This window comes from Homo sapiens, chromosome 3 (assembly GCF_000001405.40).
Source record: "Homo sapiens chromosome 3, GRCh38.p14 Primary Assembly".
Taxonomy (NCBI): Eukaryota; Metazoa; Chordata; class Mammalia; order Primates; family Hominidae; genus Homo; species Homo sapiens.
Genome location: NC_000003.12, coordinates 35,706,285 through 35,727,851, shown reverse-complemented (window position 1 = coordinate 35,727,851; position 21,567 = coordinate 35,706,285). Strand labels below are relative to the sequence as shown.

Genomic DNA, 21,567 nt, shown 5'->3' with positions numbered 1-21,567 from the left:
TTCACTACAGCAAGAGACAAGCAACCCCAGTACCCTTAACCACAGCTCTTCTGGGTACTAGGTATTAACCAGAGAAGCCAAGAGAAAACACACTAAGTAAAATTTATATTACTGCAAATTCAAACTAATAGATTACTTGTGTAATATCACAGGTTGCAAGAATGTAGTACACGAGGTTGATTAAATCATCAGCCTACACTATTGATTATGTTATTAAAAATGCATTCTTATGTATTATTAAAGTCAAAATATATAATCCATCACTAACACTCTTTTCAAGATTCTACAATATGCCCTTAAATTAAACTGGAGTTCTTTTAAAATAAGTGATAGGAACATAACATGTAAGTGCAGAGAAGAGGGGCAATTGGAGAGCATGATAATCTTTAGAAGAATGATAATATTTATTGACAACTTAGTATGCGTAAGCACTTGAATAAACACTTAAATGATGACTAATACTGCCTCTACAGATAGGAAAACTGAAGTAAAAGGAAGTTAGGTAATTCAGGTCAGCTAGATATAGCTAGATAATGGCAGAGCTGGAATTTGGTCTGTGCAGACTGATCTATAGCTCAAGCTTTAATCACGACCCCACATTGCCACTTGAAATTGTACGTATGCATATACCATGGCCTGTCACAAGTGTTCTCAGTTGGGCATCTTCTCTTGCTTTCCCCATGACTTGATTATTAATAGTGATAGTTTTATGTCAATTCAGGATGCTCCATCTAAGTGGTTTAGAATGCTCATGGGGCTACGAATAAGGCATGGGGAGAAAAAATAAAAAATGTAAAAAGAATATTGAAAATGCTAATAATAGTTTTGAGACTATATCACTGAAATTATGACTCTGTGGTCATATTCCCAATGCAGACTGTAGTGTGTGTTTATGGACCTGCTGTGTATAATTTGATGCTACGTTACACATTTGACACTAGAGTCAACAGCAACAATGTAAACAATTCAACAACAAAACCTCCTGTACCAAGGTATTTAATGTTATGCAAACATGATTCAGCTCATCTCCAGACTGAGGGGCTAGGCACTGAAAAAGAGTTGGGGCCAAGGGAGCACGTCCTAACTCAGATTTGAGCTATAAGCCAGTGATGGCATGAGTGTGTGTGTTAGGAGGGATGGGTTGATGCAGACAGACTGAAGTGTCACAATCCAATCCAAAGAGTAATTTAATTTTGGTTTTAGAAGGATGGCCATTAATCACTGATTTACAACATTATACCCTTCCCTTACCTGAGGGAAAAAAAAAGCAGCATCAATAGGAGAAATGAGAAGACAATGTAAATGATTTGATTCCACAGGTTAAAGGAAGGAAGGAAACCTAAATTTGGCTTAAATTCTCTGCACATGCAAAGATGAAAATAAAGTCAAACCTCTTCAAAAGGATGGCTCAGCAATCAACATATGGCCAGGATTTACTAACTGGCCCTTCTGACTGGCTTTGACCAGCATGTAAACATCAATCACCAAGGCCAGGGAGAGCCATATTCCACACACAGCCAGTGTTGCTAAAGTTTGTGATAAAACACAAATGCTACTAAAAGGCAAGGGACTGGAAGTGTTCAAAGATTTTTTAAAAAATGAAATTGATATTTGAGAACTTTTGAGATTTAGAATGGCTGAGAGTTAAAAGTATTTCTGATTCCCTTTCTTCAGAGGTTTAATGATAACCATGACAAATATTTATACAGTATGCATATGTGACAATCACTGTGCTAGTTTCTCTATAAGAATTGTCTAATCTAACTTTTACAGCAGCCTCATTTTGAAGATGAGAACTGATCTTCAGATATGTTAAATTTCCCAAAGCTCAGTTTGTGGCAGAATCCAAGCTCAAACCCAGGCAACTTGACTCCACAGATGGCTCTCTAAGCCTGTAGGTCATGTTCATCTTCTTATCATTTAAGCAAGGCACAGACGGGGGCCAGGGCCCTGACCAAGCCTGTGCCAAGTTCTAGGAGATACTAGATTAAAATTCCATGCTACTCACAGTGGAAAGCTCAGAAACTGAAGCTGAACCCTAGGGGGTAGCCACAGGGAGGAGAAAAAAGAAGACATCCAAGTGGCTAGGTGAGGGACTCAGGTGAACCCTCAAGAGAAAAGCAGAAAAAAGAAAATGGGAAACATGACAAAAGATAGAAAAAGAGATCACAAGTCAAAACAAAATGAAAAGCCAGGAAAGGACAGGGCAGAAGGGGAAGGACATAGGCAGATTCCCTTGGAGCAGAGGGAACATTCCCAGGGAGGAAGGATACTTCCCAAGGAGGAAGGATACTGGGTTTTAATTCTGGTTCTGCCACTTACTAGCTGTGTTTTCTTCAGGAAGTGACTACTTTAGACCTCAACATACCCTTTTGTAAAATATAAGGTACCAGACTAAATGGTGAGCAATGGTAAGGAAGATGACCTTAATGTTCCCCTCAGCTTGACCAAACTTTTCACTGGTTTCTTCCAGACTAGAGGCTCCTCACCTCCCTATACTTAGAACATTTATGCTCCTTTGAGATGTAAATCTCCTAGCCTCTTGCCACTTTTACAATCCAGGAAGCTCTTTCTTAGGTACCTGGGAGCCATCCCTTTGAAATCTAATCATCATGAAAAATAGAGCCCCTATCTCTCAATTTCTGTGGGAGGATAGGAGCCTAACTTCCACAGCACCAATTAGCAAGCACATGGAGCCTAATCACATCACCCAATTTCCTCTATAATGTCCTCCAAAATTTTGCCACTAGCTCACCCCAGTGCTTGAAGAGTCTCCTGCTTTTCGATTCAGTGGAGCTCAGTTCTCTCTCTAAAAAGAGAGATCATAGTCTTGATCCCTGTTGCAATAATAATGAATACATTCTCTTTTGCCTGTACCATCTGGTGCAATTTTTCTTTTACAAGGACCACAAATCATAAAGGTTTTATTTCTGAATTATATAATTCAAGAAAATATTTCCAGATTCAGGGGGTCAGTGTTCAGTAGAATAACCTAAAGCTTCCAAAATTACAAGAAGGAAGAGAATATCCACGATGTGTTAGTGCAGTAATAAAAATAAAGACAAAGAAGAGGAAGTGGTAGAAACATGGGGTGTCTTGCATTGGATCAAAAAACACTCCAGGATGTAGGCAAGGAATGTGACAATAGCAGGAATAGCCTTGCATCCAGAAAACATCAAGCCAGACCACCTAAAATTATTATAACAAAACAAAAGTACATTTTATTTCTCCAGAGCAGTTGTTTTTGAAGTGTGGTTCCCAGGCAAGGAGCATTGGCATCAACTGGGAACTTGTCAGAAATGCAAATTCTCAGGCCCCATCCCAGACCTATGGGCTCAGAAACTCTGGGGGTGGGTGTTGCAATCTGGGATTTAACCAGTCCTTTGGGTGATTCTGATGGAGCTAAAGTTCAGAAACCCTGCTTTGAAGATCAAGATGGGGGAACAATAGTGACAGTATAGCTAGGCCAATGTGGTAAGAAACAGATGTCATACTCTTATTTCTCAACCACATTGCTATTAACAAGAAACAGCTGAGGTTGCCGCACAGGTGTCATTCAAGTGCTTTCGGTAAGGAGGATACAATCGCATCATCTGCCTCCAGAAATGTGTGTTGGGCATCTGGTAGGCAGCCCAGGCCTCAAGAGAATGTGCTTGTACATTCATACTTCAGTAATATGCTTCCTTCCAAAACGTAGGAAAATGTGTTTCCAATGTGGAAAAAGTCTCATTATTATCTATTTAAAGCTAGAATCTATGTAATTAGAGGAGGAGAAGAGTAACTTAAATGTCACAACTCCAGACTTGGTTTCTGAAAGGTCATAAAAAAGTTTGCAATTCCACTGTGAACAATTAGGTAAAAAACTGAAAACTTGTGCTGTTCTGAAGCTCCATGACAGCCAGACTGACAGCTTTGCTTCATAAATCCATCTTGGGAAACTGTAAGTTTGTTTTGACATCCTACCTTGATCTTCTTTAAGTTTTTATTCCCTTCCCATGCCTGCACTTTGACAAGCTTTCAAATGGAGACACTTAGATTAAAAGAAAAAAAATTCTGAAGCACTTACAATCTCTAATCATTCTTCAAAGAACATGGCATTTTAACATTTTTGAAGTGTTTTAAATGTTTCCAAAGAGCTTTGCTTTGGAAGTGATTGGGGGTTGGTGCATGAAGAATGACTATTAATTTAAAAATCTTAAGAGCTCTTTTGGTGTGCTGGAATTTTTAAGTGCACCATTTAAAGTACTTGGTTTTCACATTTTAAGGAGATTTAAAACTATTAAACCTATCTTAGTTTACAAGAGCTCAAGTGTACTACAGTGGATTTTCTTTACTTCAGTTGCTACAATAGTGGAATATGAGAGCAATTAATTAGAGTAAGAAATCAAGAACTCACCAATTAGTGAATAAAAATTGCAGAAAGGCAGTGTGAACCCATCTGAATCTTTCCAAGAATCAGGGTGTGTGTATTATGTAGTGACTGTAACTAAATGCTATTAATTTTCTCCTAATATAGGAAAACATGAGATAATTTTTAGAAGGAATTTGTCAACAACCTAATTATGTTAAACCATTAGCAAATGAACCCAGATTTTGCATGGAGGTGGGGAACCCCTTGGCCCTAACATCAGTGTAAAGGGTGATTGGGAAAATATCCACAGTCCAGGGCAGCCCATGTCTAAACTCTAACTGGGGTTCTCCATTCTTCATCCCACTCCTGCCTTGGCCTCCCACTCACCTGTCACTTCAGGAGCCTGAATGCTCCACCCATACAATCTGACACCCAGAGCATACAACAGAATCACAACTCCCAACCACCTCCCCACCCAAACCAAGAGAGTGTCAGGGAATTTGATTTTCTAAGGCAGAACCAAAACAAAGCAAAAACAATTACATACTAAAATCACAAACTTCAGTTCATGGAGTGCTACTGAATGGTCATTTGTCACCTTCCTGAGATTTTAGGAGGTATTTTAATTGTGAACATTTGAAAATAATCAAAAACAATAGTGAATAATCTTTGGGAGACAGAAGAGCTAGAAATGGCCGACCATGAGGGCATTTTGCAGACTCATGTGAGCATCGTGGTGTATGCTTCCATCAGTTTAAAGTTGTTTCAAGTTAATGGCTCTCCTAGATCTCTCATTATCACTCACCTTCCAAAGACTGTTCATGCAAACTTGAACTACCTACCTCAGAATATCGTTATTTGCTTCACTTGGAAAAAAACATACAAGCACCTGGTAACTTGGAAACTCTAAACCTCTCTGACACTCACCTGTCTTATCTGCAAAGCAGGGGTGCAAACATTAAATGGCAGTAATAAAAATGAATAATAACTAGAGTTTATTGGGGGTTTATAACTTGACAGACATTATTCAAGTTGCTTTGTGTATACTGACTCTTTCAGTCTTCATAATATTTCTACAATATAGGTACTATTATTATTTCTATTTATCAGATGAAGAAAACAGAGGCACAGAATGGTTAAAAACCAGGTCCAGGATCGTACTAACAGCATTCCAATGCAAGAACGAAAGCTATTAATATTATAATTATCCTACGGCGTGTTTTTAAGGAATAATTCATATTACTAAATTTAAAAGGAACAGCAAACTTTTGCTAGGTAGTTACTGTAATGCAGGTGCCATGGTAATCATTTTTATATAAATAATGCAATTTAAACTTCAGTTTACTGAGTAAACTTAAATAAGTAAACTTAAGTGCTTAAATTAAATACATAAACACTAAGTCTACTGAGATGGGTTTGAATAACATTATATAACCTACATTTTATAGATAAGAAAACTGAAACTTGGAGAGGTTAGTAACTTGACCTAGGCACATAACTGGAAAGAGTCAGTAACCTATTTAAATTGTACCTTCTGATTTCCAGCTATCCCTGTGATTAATATCATCATTATCAGTCAACTGAAAGTCAGAGGGAATGGTGACCATATGGCTTGGGTAGAATCCAAAAAATACCACAGGACATAAACACATTCAGTACTAACTACCTGCTTTGGACAGCTTCCCGGTACTCCTAGTACTGGAAGTGCTGTCACCCCTGGTCAGCACCGTGATGCCCCCAAAACTCGCCGTCTTGGTCATGGCGGGCTTTAGATTGCGGTTGGAACTGTCGGAGTCTGTGCTGCTCCAGGCCCTTTGGTGGTCAGACCACTTGAGTTCATTTTCTGAGCTGCTCTGTCGACTCCCAGATGTTCTCCCTGAGCCATCTCTGTTGCCCCTGGAGTACGACCACCAGAAAGATGCACAGGGACAGGATTACCTTACATGCATGGTGTTGGTAGGCACAGAGCAAGGCTTTTCTTGGAAGGTGATCCACACAAGACCCTTCCTGCCAACCCTTTTCATTAAACCAGTTGCCTCCCAGTGTTACAAATACTTTGATGATGTATAGACAGATGACACATCACATATAACACATAGGTTACAAACAGAAAAACCAAACCTAGAAATGTTACATGATCCCTCTGTCGGTGAAGGAGAAACAACTAGAAAGACATGTCATAAAATGTAATTGTTAATTTCTCTTGCAAATAGAATAGGGGGATAACTTCTCCTGACTCAAATCAATAATTAATTAATGTTCAGAAGTAATTGTGATCTTAAATGATTCTAAAAGTAACTCCCACCAAAGAAGACTTTTTCTCTCTCTTTAGCACAAAATAATTGTCAATGGAAAAATGCACATAGATCCAGAGAAGCTGTTAATTCATGTTCCAGCTTTATGAGATACACATCTGAAATCACCAAGGCTTTGACAGATAGGATAGAAATCACAGAAATTACTCTATTAACCTATGGTAAGAATTTTGCCCACTGAGTTTAACCTTCATGGTCAGAGGAAAGAACCCTTTAATTATTTTCACGTAGAAAAACTTTTGAAAATAACAACAGTGTAAACACTATACACTGACACAAAACTTTCCAAGGGGAACAATGGAAATAACAAAAAAAGCTCCTCAGGTGAAAGAACACATTTGTTCAAACTTCAAATAGAAAAAAGAGTAAATGTATTGGAAGAGATCCAATAGCCAGAAGTGAAGTTTGAAGACTGTAGAGTATCTCTAAGAAATATGCAAAATTGCATGTGTTTTATAGAGAAATTTGACGAAATTTGCATTTTCATTGGTTTCCAATCTGTCTAAAGCATAACTTTGTTAATAAATTCAAAGCTTTTTCTGAAGATAAAAATAATGCATCCGTAAAATACCTTAAGGTTTAATGGATTATAAATAAGTAAAGGGAATATAAATCTTGGTCAGTAAATATAACACCTAACTCATATTAACAATGAGACATATTTAAGCCTTGATTCAAATCTCACAGATGTGATTGGTAGCTTCATTGAAAAATATTTTAAAGACAATAATGTACTGTTGAGATGTTTGAAGTGCACTATGTGATTGAAATACTCACCGACAAAATTGTACAGACAGTACAAAGAAAATTTTAAGTGTTGCTTTAACTTTACTCACTAAACTTTTTCTTTTATTTCAGCCAAACATAAGAAGATAAATGGATCCAAGAAATAAAAATGAAATAACTGATTTGTGACAGGAACTTTGTAAAGCAAAGGGAGGAAGGGGTACAGAATATTCACAAAACAAAAAGCGCTTTCGAGTGAAAGATTAGATGAAAATACTCAGTGCCCTCCATCCTCTATTAATATTTTACATTCTCTCTGTTCTCAGTACCACACGGATGGCTGGTTTTAGAAATAAGAACCACTTGATGAAAACCAAGTTGTAGGTATGAATGCCAGACCTTCACCAATGACCAGGTGGCTTTACCTCTTAAACTCCTTTGACATTCAAGAAAGCCTTGGGAGATAGAGCGGAGAAATAAATAGCCTTTTCAAGGGCTTGCTATTCCATTTCTGATTGTCTTCTCTTTAAATCTCCAAATTCAACTTCATTCTTCTCCCATATAATCATGAGTATGTTAAACTATGTTTTACAAAGTCTAGCAAAATCATTGTTTAGCAACTGTGAATGCACCAGAAATATGACAATAATCTCATTTGCAGCTAATTTGAAATATTTATTATAGAAAAACATTGGCTTGATGATTTGGGAGTGGTGCTTAGCCTCAGAGTACAGGATGCATGAGATGGATGCTCTCCATATGGGGGTGATCCCTTGTTCCCATTACTAATTCTGCTTCAATAATCTCTTTAGCCATGAACTCTGCACCTCCATGGCAGGAATCCAGACTTTCTGTAAAAGCCAGTGTGACTGTGCCTTTTAGGTAAAGAAGGTGGCCACCACTATTTCTGGGTGCAATTTAGTGTGTTGTAGTCTACACCCTTCTCCCTGGTAGAGCTAGTTTTAGAGCTGTAAGAAGTTCCTTTAGACTTATGTCACATCACCTGCTCAATAAGGCAACCTAAGATTTCTTTAACTTCTCTACCTCTACCTCACTAGCTCAGATCACTGTCCTAAGCCATAATCTGTACATTTAAAAAAGAAAATTTAAGTTGCCGCTTTAGGGAGTTAGCATTAATGAGATTCAAAAATAATGTGTAACTCTAATTTATGATTCCTAGGTATTTATACATTAAAATATATTTTGTACTCCTCTATTTTATATTGCACTATCATCTTAACAGTGTTGAAGTGCGGTCCAGTATTGAATTCCAAATCTGTTTGGGTGTGGGATCATAGGCATTGTAGAAAACCACATGCACAGGTGTCTTCCCTTCTCTCCTAAGCCCAGTCTTGTTCCTCCCCTACTGGAATCCAGGAAGATGATAGCAATGGGATATCTGGTCATTGGAGCTTGCCCTCTTGTAAGTAACTAGAATTTCATTCCAAGGTAGTTATAAAGCATATATTTTAAGCTCTGTTTCTGTGCTGATTAACATAATTGAAAATATTTATTTTCCTTTATGTCTATATGCATTTTTTTTTTTTTTTGCACAGGTTACTCTCCTACTGGAATCACCTACTGGAATCCAGGAAGATGATAGTAATGAGATATCTGTCATTGGAGCTGGGCCCTCTTGTAAGTAACTAGAATTTCATTCCAAGGTAGTTACAAAGGCATATATTTTAAGCTCTGCTTCTGTGCTGATTAACATAACTGAAAATATTTATTTTCCTTTATGTCTAAATGCATCTTTTTTGCACGGGCTAGGGATGATCTACATCTTGAATTGCTTTTACAATTGTGTGAATGGCTTTGTGCTAAGTTACCCTTCTGAGTTTCTGTGCTTGGTTATTTGGGTGGGTGATGAAATCCATATTTGAGATGGCTAACCTGAGTATATGGTAGCTCTGGCTTGGGGACAGATTTGGGATTATGTAAAACTAACTGGCCTTTAGGGGACAAGAACCCATGTTTTATCTATATCACCCTAAACAAACTAGGTCACAGTGTGTGAGCGCAGGACTAATGGTAAATTTTAGCTTTTCTCTGAGTTTTCAAAAGAAGTGCAAAGTTATTTTCTTAAATCTTCAAGTGTGGAAAAGAAAATTAATTGTCTAATGATACATAAGGAAGACTTCATAATAAACTTAATAGTTCAATCTAGAAAAGTGAAAGAAGTCCAAAAAGAAGCTTCTGTTTTTTGTTTCAATCAAAGTGTAAGATAACAAATTAATTTTACTCATAATGAGTTCTAAAGTCCAGAATTATTGCAGAAAATGTACTTTCTCAACATTCAATTCATCTGATTTTCTTAGTATTTTCTTTCTTTTAAGTGGATAAGAGTTTTGTTGTTGTTCTTGTAGTAATTCCTGCAACGGAGGTAAATCCTAACACTCATAAACACATTAACACATTAAATATATGTATTGGATACTGAGTATACTTATAGTACTGTGTACACTTTTCTCTACAATGGATGTCAGATATACATTGAATAGAGCAGTGAGAAAATGGGTATGGTCGCTCTGCTTTCATAGAGCTTCTAGTCTAGTATAGAACTTTAAAAAAATTATCATCCTATCCCCTTATCCTACACAGATTTTAATTTAAGTATTTCATTTTAATTGAAAGGAACCTCATATCTTTCTTCAGAAATAAAATTCACCCTTGAAAACACACTGTTTGAAATAATATAACAGATAAAATTAAAAATTAGTTGCCCAAGTAGGGCTATCATTGATTTATTTTCCAGTGTTGAGAATGTATGTACAATTGCAATCTGTCAGTGAAAATTTAACTCAGTGTAATTTACTAAAGTTAATTTGGGAAAATCAAAACAGTGTGCTACCAAAGTTAGCCCCCAAAAAGCAGAAAACCAGAAGAACCCTAACGAATTGTAGACGAAGTGATAGATTTCCAGTCTCATATCTCATACTACCCAATATGACTTCCACGCTAGCTATTTAACAAGCTTTACAAAGAGATAACCAGACTTTTTTAAATGAACAGATATATTTTACACGAGTACACTAATATTTAACATTGATTCTACCACATAATTTGAAAAAAACACAGTTTAAGAAAGTAAACCATACCAACCGAAAGAGCTGTCTTTTCTTATAGGTCTCATTGCATATGTTACTGTCTTCCAAGAGCCTACTGGAAATGAAAAACATGATTTTTATGATATAAAACCTAAGGGTACTAAATGCCTTGTGTTTACATGGATGTGTACTCTACTACAGCACAAATCAATCCCATACAAAGTTTTATTTATATGATGTTGAATTTTGCCATAATAAATTAATGCCCATAGGATAGGATTAAGATCTCTACCCTAGGATTAAGACACCGATGCTAGGTAAGGAGAAAAGAAGGAAAGAGGAAGCAGAGGGAATAGAAGAGGAGAAAAGAGATTGATATAGGTATAATAGAGATTTAATTAAATACATTAGTAGTGATTTTTTAGAGTAATATATTAAAACTATTCTTCATATTTTGGCATAATGAAATATTGGCATTCCAGAGGCACATATCCAAGAAATGTATTTATTTTTGGTGGTAAGTCACTTAGATTTTTGGTTTCCAGGACCATCAAGACCTGTTAACCTAAAGAGAAGGCAATACATATATATGTGACCAATTATTGTAATGTGGGATATAATCCAACATAATATAAGGGACACTCAAGTGTAAATGGATAAGATTAGGGAGGAAGATAGGGAAAATCATTGGCTAGAAGACGAGAGAATAAGGTTTCCCATGAATCTGAATTGTGAATGCTCACTTAATCTTTCTGGCAAAGATAGAGTATTTTTGGAATCCTTTAGAAATCACCTGCAAGATGTCAATGCTTATGGATTACTGATTTTACTGTAAATAGGGAATATTTGTCTAAATATATATGGACTTTGAAGTTTTCTGTGAATCCCTTTTATGTGTTTCTCAATTTTATCTCTTCTTCTGAAGAGGTTATTCTATTAAGGGGTTTAGTCACGTTACTTGAAGATTTCCAACTGCAAATATGAATGATGGAATTTTTTAAGCCAATCATCTTTAATGTCCAGTTTAAATTTCTCTGAGTACTGGCATTTAATCAAACAGTCTTCATTTTAATCAATGGTATAGGAATACACATTAAGCAAAACCCTGAAATAAAATTAACCACCACTTTATTTATAGATACCACATTTTCAAATCAAGTTGCTCATTTTGATGCCTCTTAAATGTGATTAGTGCAGTTAATTTGGATTCCTTAATTTGCCCTGAGTATCCGCAATTAAATCAATGGGGCATTTTAATATATATGTCAATTTAGAATGATTTTTGAAGGGTATATATTAAGTTTGAAAAATTTTTGCTCTTATCACCAAGATTTTCTTTAAATTTTATAACCCATTTATTTTACAACAACTACCTCCCCCTACTAACTCCTATGCCAGGTACACTGCTAAATCTAGGCCAGTTTAGATAAGATTTTCAAGGTCAAGTCTTTTATGAAGAAAAATAGATTGTTTAGAATAAAAAAACTGAAAATATTATTCCAATTGTTACTTGTATAGCTATATATTGTTATGGGGCACAGGAAGTGGCCAATAATACCAAATATATGCATGCCTCTAGCAGACTACTAAATAAGCCAATGAAACTGCAAGTTCCTGTGATGTCTCCATATTTATTATTCTTAATGCCTGGTGAAGGTAATAGGAAGTATACCTTTGCAAGGACCAGAAATTGAGACTTTAAATAAGAAAAAGTTTTACAATTCTGTTTGGAATTAACTGAAAGAAAATTTTTTTTCCAAATTAGATCATTTGTAGATGTGTTAAATAACATATATGTGTGTACGCATAGATATATGTATCTGCTAATACATATATTCAAGCACACACATATATGGGATATATATTTATGAATACACAAGACACACATGACAGACGTTGTTCCTCTAAAGACATGGAAAAGTAAATTTTATTTTACCTGTTTTCCACAAAAAGGCTTTCCTGGGAGCAAACTGACTGAAAAATAAAAAAAAGGCATTGGATCAGAAGTTCTGGATATGCTGAGGGATCCCAAATACTTGCCTGATTTTAAAACTAACTTTCCCCTCATAGGGGAAAAGAATTAAGAAAAATAGGTACAAAAGATAGAAATAAAAAAGGAAAAAGGTTGGTTAGGATTAGAAAAGTAAACAATTCTCATGCAGCATAGGGTATTTTTCCTTCAGGACGTCTCCAGGTTTTAGATTTAGTCTGTTCGGCATGGAGGTCAGAAGAAGAGAAATGTGAATGAAACAGCTGGAGAAACGTGTGGCCGTCGGATTCCGAGCTAGTGGTTTCTTCTGGAGCTGCAGAGCTGCAGCCACCAAACAACAGAAGCCAAGGGAAAGGGTTCAAATCAAAGCAGAGCGTGCAGACTCCATGCGATCCACGTTAAGAATGGGAGAGCCATAAAGCCACAATCCTGAAATTATTACCTGGTGATGATAAACTCTCATGAAATAAAGAGATTGACTGAAAGACTCTCAAAATAGAAGAAATGCCATCAATTATTGATCTTAAGTAAGAGGGGAAGGCCAGAAGACAAGTGAGGATGAAAATACGCTAATTAAAAAAAAAAAATCAAGCTCCATCTAATATATGCCAGTTTTTCACATAGAAAATCAATGACTTTCTTCTTAGCTTCTATTCACCGAGCATTCATTTCTCTTCTATCTTGTGTTTATGCACAATGTAGGGAGGACAAAATTCCATTACCATTACATGCTGAGGAAAGGTGGATCAAATTAAATTTAAACAAATACAAAAGAGAAGTCTAGACAAGATATGGTGCTGTGGTCCTATAATAGGGTGACTGTATTTAGAAAGTAACACAAAACCATTTCCAAAGTACTTAAGTTTCTAAACATAAATAAATACACATCCTGCTATATACGTAGATTTTCCAAATGATGAATAAATGACTTGTTACAGGAATAAATAGAGACTTAACAGGTCAATTTTAAGATAAAATAAAACTAAAGAAGTAATAATAACCTTTTAATAACCAATTATTGACTTAAAAGATCCTGCTAATGTAACCACTTCTGAGAGGCAGGCAGAATATTGGTTTCTATGTTCATTTTGTTAGAGAAATAATTTCCTTCCACTAAGCCAATGGGCTAGATTTAGACATGGTGTTTCTCTCAGTTTTATGAGCATTTCAGTGAAGGTGTCTCTAGAATCGTTTATGCTTTAACCTTGCTGCACTTAACATGCATCCTGAATTTCAAGTATGCAAAAACCTCATTTAAGAAAAAGCAAAGAGAGACAATTAAAAGATAAAGCTTTTCAGAGAATAGCTTTTTTAAAAAACTTGACATTTATATATGAAAGGGAAACAAGCATAAATGATGTGCCATTGATATGCCTATGAAGGGCTCTTTACAGTACACTAAATGTCCTAACTTCTTTTATTTCCTTTAATTTGGTTTTACTATTGGCTGGAGTCAAGTAAGGTATGTAAAAGAAAGCGAGGTTAGCTTAGATATACATTATGAGTTCATACTTTGCTACTTCTCAGCTCTCATAGTTGGAAAGTGGTTGATTGTGTTTATAATGTTTTGTCTGGATATTGGAATTATTGAGACTCTATTTGTCTGAAGGAATTAATTAAGGACATAGTGACCTCTTTAGACTCAATCTAATAGCATTTGGGGGAGAGTTAAGAACCCCAAACTCTGTATTAAAAAGTAAGACACAAGCAAGTCAAAGATACCTTGCCCATGCCAAAGTGGTGGCTCACACTTGTAATCCCAGCACTTTGGGAGGCCAAGGCAGGCAGATCGCCTGAGCTCAGGGGTTCAAGACCAGCGTGGGCAACATGGTGAAACCCTGTCTTTACAAAAAATACAAAAATTAGCGGGGCATGGTGGTGCACACCTGTGGTTCCAGCTATTGGTAGAGTAGGTGGGAGAATCACTTGAGCCCAGGAGCTAGAGGATGCAGTGAGCAGAGATCATGCCACTGTACTCCAACCTAGGTGACAGGGACTTTGTCTCAAAAAAATAAAAAAAAAATACCTTACCCAATAATATCTCAAGTATTTTTCTGTTTTCTTTGGAAAGTTCCTAAAAAATTATCTCATTATCCCCTCAACTACATTTTCATAAATAAGATAGATACAGTTATGGGCTGTGATTCACTAGCTGATGAAAATAAACTTTTTTTTAAAAAAAGTAGTATTAATAATTTTAATAGCAGAGAAAGATAAAATTGTCACAGTAATTAAGTGCAACATTCAAAGCTGTCACTTATATGCATTCTCGGATATAAAAGGCTTGCTTCTTTTCAAAAGAAGAAAAACGATTTTGCTTAATGGGTTATAGAGTTCTCTCCCACATCCCACCCTCAGCTCTGGTGGCACCACATGCCCTTATTACCCATCCCCACTGAAGAGGAGTCCCAGCACATGTTAGGAGGACCACAGATGAACTCTTCACTGAATCTCTATTTATACACAAATATCCTTCAGAAATTAGCCTCCAGGCAAAACATACCTTCTCAAGTATATTGCTTTATCAATTTAACCTTCCCAAAGTCAGTTACATTGCATAGAATTAACCATAAAATAAGCCTAAATATAAAGTTTTGCCAAAGGAAAAAAGAATTACATTTCAAATATATTGACTACAAAAAATACATTTATTATTTAGGTACTAAATTCTAAATTGTTGTTTTGACTTACAACTATTTAGTTCTCAAATAATGAAGAAATTTGTCTTATCTCAAAATCTCAAAATTCTCAAAGTGGATTTGAATTTTTTTCTGGAAAATCCCCAAAGCAAATCACATATTTTATGTGCCTGTATACAAAAGCACACACAAACACATACACACACACACTCTCTCTCTTTCACACACACACACACACACACACACACACACACACACACACACACACAGACACCTTAGACACCAAGATATATTTGGAAAATATTCAAGAATGTTTCTGATTTTAAAATAAATTTGACTTTTGCTAAATTGTAAATACCAGGAAGTATTTCTGAACTTTCTACTTTTACTTCAAGTAGCAAAAAAATACACTTAAGCAATATTTGAACCTATTTAAATCACTCCACTGCTTAAATAATAATTGCCAAGGAAAGCCGCTTTGTTAGCTCAGTTTTCAAATTATGAAGAAACTAAACTAAAGACCAGCTATGAAAAAGATTAGAGTTCTGTAACACAGTTTCCTTATGCTGGATTCTTTGCATTTGTTCTCTAATTGATTTAATATACTGTAATTATCATCTTATGAAAGAATGATCTTGTGCCTCAGCCATTTGGGCACTAGTAATGATCATTTGGGGATCTGGAAGTACTAGATGAGGGTCCCCTAAAGTGTGCTGCCTTTATGTTTGTGTCAATAGAGGATACAGTAATAGCCTCTTTATACAGGGTCACCCCCAATGATCCCTGCCTTTTGATATTCACAACCTTGTGTGGTACTTTCCACATTGTTCCAATGTTGATCTGAGTGTCCAAGACAATATAGCTGGGAAGATATATCATATCCAAGATTAGGTTATAAAAGACTGTGGCTTCTTCCATCTTGGGCTTTCTCTCTCTTTCTCCCTTAAATCACTTTCTTCAGGGGAAGTTAGTTGCCATGTCATGAAGACACCAAACAGCCTATAGAAGCCTACATTGTAAGGAACTGAGATCTCCAGCCTATAGCCAGTGAAGAATTGAGGCCTTCCAATAATCATGTAAGAGAGTTTGAAAGCAGATAACCACTTGATCAAGCCTTCAGATGACTGCAGCCCCAGTTGACAGCTTAACTGCAACCTCATGTAAGACTCTGAGCTAGAATCACCCAGTTAAGCTACTCCCAGACTCCTGACCCACAGAAATTGTGAGATGATAAGTGTTTGTTTTCAGCTGCCAAATTTTGGAATTTTTTGTTATAAGGCAACAAATAGCTAACACATAGAAAATACCAGTGGTATGATTGCATATCTCTAGCAGAGCTATACAGATAGAGAAAGACACTAGGTGTTTCTTGCCCTCTAAGAGAAAGGGTCTTAGCCTTTTAACGGTTATGGAAACTTGTAAGAATATGATATACAATAGGGACCATTTCTTTAAAAAATGCACACGTGTTCATGAACATGATTTGCAAATGATGTCTGGGACTTCAGTTAATCCTTCAAGCCCTTCTGTGAGTATAGTCTGGGTACCTGATGCCAATTTAAAACGCTGCCCTAGGATATCAAGTTAAAAAGCATGCTAGAAACAGGCTGGTCCTCCACTCAAATTAGTAAAGCCGGAAGAGCTGGCCACTAGGGAGGCTACCAAAGGGGCTCACACCTCTATTCCTACAGAGAGAAGAAGCCACAGCATTTTAAAGAAGGCTGCCAAATGATTTCATGGATTTAAAAAGCTATGGCAATAGCTTGACATTTAAGATTTCTCACATTTAAATGTGCTTTTATTTTTTAAAAACTGTTGATACAGCATGTGGGCATAGATGCTTCAAATAGCAACACTTGCCTAAAATGTTTAACCCAGATCCCCAGCTGTTAATCTCGTTAACAAGGTTGTAAGGAAATGCAATGTATAGAGAAAGTCATGCAGACCCTGTCTCCCAGTGACCTCTCTTTGTCCATGAGAATTGGCAAATGAAATAAGCAGGACAGGTGTCATCTTCATTACAGACAGGCATTAGTGACAGACTTTGTCACCTAGCTGTCAAGTGTCTAACAATGTGACACAACTTTAAAAACAGCATAATATTGCATGTGCATTTTATGTGTGATTTGTATTTTCTTTTCAACATAACTCATTCATAAATTACTTGACCTGCCAGGACCAGAGTGTGAGAGAAAATGTGTGTGTGTGTGTGTGTGTGTGTGTGTGTGTGTGTGTGTGTGTTTGAGAGAGAGAGAGAGCAAGAGAGAGAGAATAAGAACAAAAAATGAATTAACTTTCAAAAAAATTATCTCTATGAAGCTCTATGAAGGTCTTCAGACAGGAAAATGCTACTTTCCAGGCCACTGTAGGCATCCTTATTATGACTGGAAAAGATCATCTCATCACTTCATTCTTGTATCCACCAAACACAATTAAAGGCCCACCATATGTCAGGCTGTATTTTGCATTATCTAAAATTCTGACCATAATAAAATTCTAAGTAGCCTACACATATGCAGAGTCTCCTAAAATTGCATCCAGACCTCCAACAATGGTAACTTCCATCTCCCTCTCTCTCACACTCTTCTAATTTCAGAGCTCTTAGCTGGATCATCCAATCTTCAAAATTCTATTTCAGTGTGTTCAAGAAAGGTGGCGGGGGTTGTAGGGGGCGGGATATAAACGTGAAAGAAGTGCAGTGCTGGAGGAGGTTGAATCTCCCCTGCACTTTCATATTAATGGAACCAGACCAGCTGGAAGATCAGAGAAACTGGCTTTGGCCTGAAACTTTTCAGGACAGCAGTCTTCCTCCAAGCTAAGCACTGAAGCCTACTTCTCTGGGCTGGCTTTGTGTTGTCTCCAGAAGCAGATCACAGCAGGAGATCAGATATTCCACTAGACTCAGCAAAGCTTGCCATGTTGGCCACGGAGTCTTACAAAGGAGCTCACACTTCTACTGACGCAGGGGGAAGAACCCACATCATTTGAGGAGGCTGCTAAATGATTGCATGGAATGAAAACGCTATGGCAGTTGCTTGCCCTTTTCCTTGCATTTAAATCCAGCCTCTACTTTTTTTTACCTTTTAATGTTTAATTAATTGCATTTTATCTTGACCATAGTGGGTAAAGATAAAAAATTCCAACCATTTTTTTTGTTGTTCGGATTTGTTTTATGATTATTCCCTTGACAAACTGTTCACAGATTTGATTTGAAATTGAGGAGAAAAATAATCTAAATTTAGTATAATGAAATGTCCATATTTGCTAACAACCCAGAAAATACTCGTTGTATATGGATGTGTGTGTGAGATAAACAGATTCTCTCTTCTTTGTAATTCTTTACCCTGTACAATGTTGTTATTAAAAAGAAAACAACACTAGGTAGGTAATCTGCTGGCTAATGTGGAGGTGAAGGCATTTCTTCAAATCTGACAAACACTTTCTGTATTTAAGGTCTGTATCACTGACCAAAATCATACCTCTCTACATGCCCCCACCAGTCATATCCTAAGAACACACCCAAACCCTTGGCTAGGTTTCTATCACTTCCCTGAACCAGATCCTCTTCCAAAATCACCTCTAGTTTTCTTCAGTTTGATTTGTTCTCTGGCTCCAGCCTTTTTATTCCCTGCCACCTCGCTGTCTGGGGAATGAGGAAGCCTTACTGCTGTTGGAAGGAGCGCACTAAAGAGGCAATTAAAACAACTACTCACATCGTGTGCAAATATTCTCTCCCTCACTCTCTGATATTCCTCTTCTCTCTCTTCAATTGATTTACTTCGTCTGTCATCTCTAAATGGATGCATTCTGTTTTGCTGAACAGAAAAAAGAAATCAGGAGGGTTATCCAAGTTGCGTTGTTAGAAATCTGTGGTTAAGCAACTGTCAGCTAAGAATAATAAATGTTCACTTAAACAAATGGAGCCTGAAAAATCTCATTCTCTCTGTTTCCTGAGGAGGCTGTGTTGGGTGCATGTACCATGTGTGTGCATGACATGCAATGGTGAGAGGTGTTTACTGCTGCTGGTTGGTTCCTCACTGGATGCAAGTAGCACAGGTGTTTCCAAAACGAGTGCACCTCACTGTGCCTCAGGTATTCAGCCAATTCACATACGTGATGGCTCATCACTGATGGACTCTGTCTGTCTTGCTTACCTGTGTGGTTCTGACTCCTCAGAAGGAGGCAGAATGCCGGTGAAAAAAGAGGAAGTGGCTAGTTCAAGGTAGCTGAGGGAAGAAATCATTTTGAAAGCTTGGGGACTGGAGAAAAAGCAAGTGAGCAAAGAAAGTAATTAACAGAAAGGAAGATGTGGACATTATTTCTTCATCTTCTAATTTGTGTAATTCATTCAGTGACTGATCCCATGAATTGCATTTAGCATAGAATGAATGACCTCAGGTTTACAGGCTAAATTTTAAAAACCTGTTTGTTGACAAGAGTCAATACCAAGAACTCTAAAGTAATGCTTCAAAGAACCCAGCATGAGGACTGCTCTTTATCCTATTTTCTGACTACTTCCTGCATCTTAAGTCTCCTTCCATCTATTCTTTCCATTCCTCACAAACTGCTCTGCACTAACCACATTCATCCATCCATTCAACAGACACCCACTAAACATGACACAGGCACATGTTTCATAGTCAACAGGAGCCATGGTGTAGCTTGGTGGCAGTGGGAGGAAACGAGATACAAATGATGAACAAGTTTTTAAAAAGTGCGTCAGAGATGCACATACTGGCTGAATGACTCACCGAGAGTGATTAAAATGATAACTTGAGATGCATATTGTCTTACCTTTAAGAATTCTAAAGCAAAGTCATTTTCAAAAAAAGTCTATTTTGATTGTCAGAGACACAAAGTATAATTGTAATGGCATTTATATGACTTTCTATTGTTATCATCATTTAAAAATTTATGGAATTTTTTTTTTTTGCCATTTACTTAGCTTTCTTCTAATCACCCTGGATCCCATAGCCCCCCGCCAATCTAAAGAAGAGATTTAGTAAGGTCTCTTTGCTCCTGTCCGGGTACCACAAATAAGGCTACTCTAGAACAACATAATGTTTTGTCACAAGCAAAATACACAAGGATAAAGTTCTGCTACACTTCATGCAAAACAAGCAGACAATTTACATGGACCATAAAACATGGGAAGGAGAGGGGATAAAAGACTAAAACATGAACTCAATTCTTTTCTCTGAAGACTTATTTTAGGATAGTTGCAAAATCCACCTGTCCTCACCATAACAAGGTTTGTTCTTTACAGCTACACCGGTTGATCATCGGTCCGTATTGATAATCCAGCTCAATTTGTGCACAACTGAAGGACAAAGCTGTAGGGAGTGGAACGACTGCCATAGTTACACAGACATCTGGATATGCGACTGACAAAGCTTTTCTCCACAGCTCGGAGCCTGTGGCATCCCGACCCTCCCAGACATGCAGCGGAAACTGCGCCAAGCACCACCCATGCAGCCCAACACAGAGCCATTGCTAAAGCAACCAGGACATATTTTTTTTTGCTACCCATTGAATGCCAAAGGGGGAGGGAAGGAGGAGAAGGAGGTTGGAGATAGGACAGTGGTATCAGAGGCAGGGGAGGATTGGAGGGAAGGCAGGGACAACAGAGGGACGACATGAACATCAGTCAGCCCACCTTCAAAAACAACAATGTCAGCCACTCTCAAACTTGAGAACCAACCTGATTGTCTTCTTTATCAATACTAGAGTTATCTCGCTTCAAGATAAACCGCTTCTGGGATTCTTCACCTTTTTCATCTTTTAAATGTTCACAAAACCTTTGCTCTGGTCTGCCAGCAAAGTAAAACATATCAATAAAAAAGTTTTTCCCCCTTGTTTAAAGTTATTTTTTAGTGTTGTTCTTCCCCCACAGTGTCATTTAACTTAAAAGTTTACAAGTGGTTTTCATACTAGAGTTGCTGGCAATATACAGGTAGGTAATAATATGTCACTTCACATGTTAGAATACTTTTTGTTGTTTTGAATTTGGGGTCTTGTTTGCTACATGCTGCTCATCATGGCTGAAATTGAAAAACAAATTTAAAGGCCTGCCTGTATATATTGTATAGATGTTTTCTTTAGTTATTTTGACCTCTATTACTCCTAAATTCAAATAACTTCCTACCCATATTCTCAAACAAATATACATGTTTAGAACTTGAGAGTAACACATTAATTCACCAATGTCTGGAACTGGCAGAATATCTTCTATCACATCTTCCCTTTTAAGAGTCTTTAGACTGTGTAGTGAGAGAGGATCACTTAAAAATTATTTTCTGTCTCCTCCAATAACGAAAGCTCTGGAATCTGGCTCCAGTAGACTCTGACACCCTTGACCATGTCTTGTAAATCGGTTCAGTAATTGGAGAAAATGGAGGTATTTAGTTTAAACAACTTAATGGTTGATTAGCATGGGGAAAATGCTTCAAGCAGTTACACACTATTGATTAGTCAATTGATTTTTTTTAGGTCTTTTTAA

At 37.0% G+C, this 21,567-nt stretch overlaps 1 protein-coding gene across 74 annotated transcripts in view; it reads right to left on the bottom strand.

Moving 5' to 3' along the window:
• The window catches only part of ARPP21 (cAMP regulated phosphoprotein 21), a 155,634-nt gene that overhangs the window by 66,635 nt on the left and 67,432 nt on the right, over positions 1 to 21,567 (bottom strand). For 16 of the 74 annotated variants that reach the window (NR_169644.1, NM_001385489.1, NM_001385488.1 and 13 more), the window contains 3 exons: positions 20,770 to 20,878; positions 12,376 to 12,413; positions 6,018 to 6,247 (listed from right to left, as the gene is read on the bottom strand). The exons of 1 other annotated variant lie outside the window; for it this stretch is intronic. Coding sequence is in view for 64 of the 73 variants with exons in the window: in NM_001385489.1 (NP_001372418.1) it covers positions 6,018 to 6,247; positions 12,376 to 12,413; positions 20,770 to 20,878 (377 nt within the window). In the remaining 9 variants the exon portion in view is untranslated. Of the gene's footprint in view, positions 1 to 6,014; positions 6,248 to 10,494; positions 10,555 to 12,375; positions 12,414 to 18,781; positions 18,884 to 20,310; positions 20,402 to 20,769; positions 20,879 to 21,567 lie in introns of all 74 variants that reach the window. 57 more of the 74 variants (XM_011533303.4, XM_011533299.4, XM_017005574.3 and 54 more) reach the window with 21 other exon arrangements.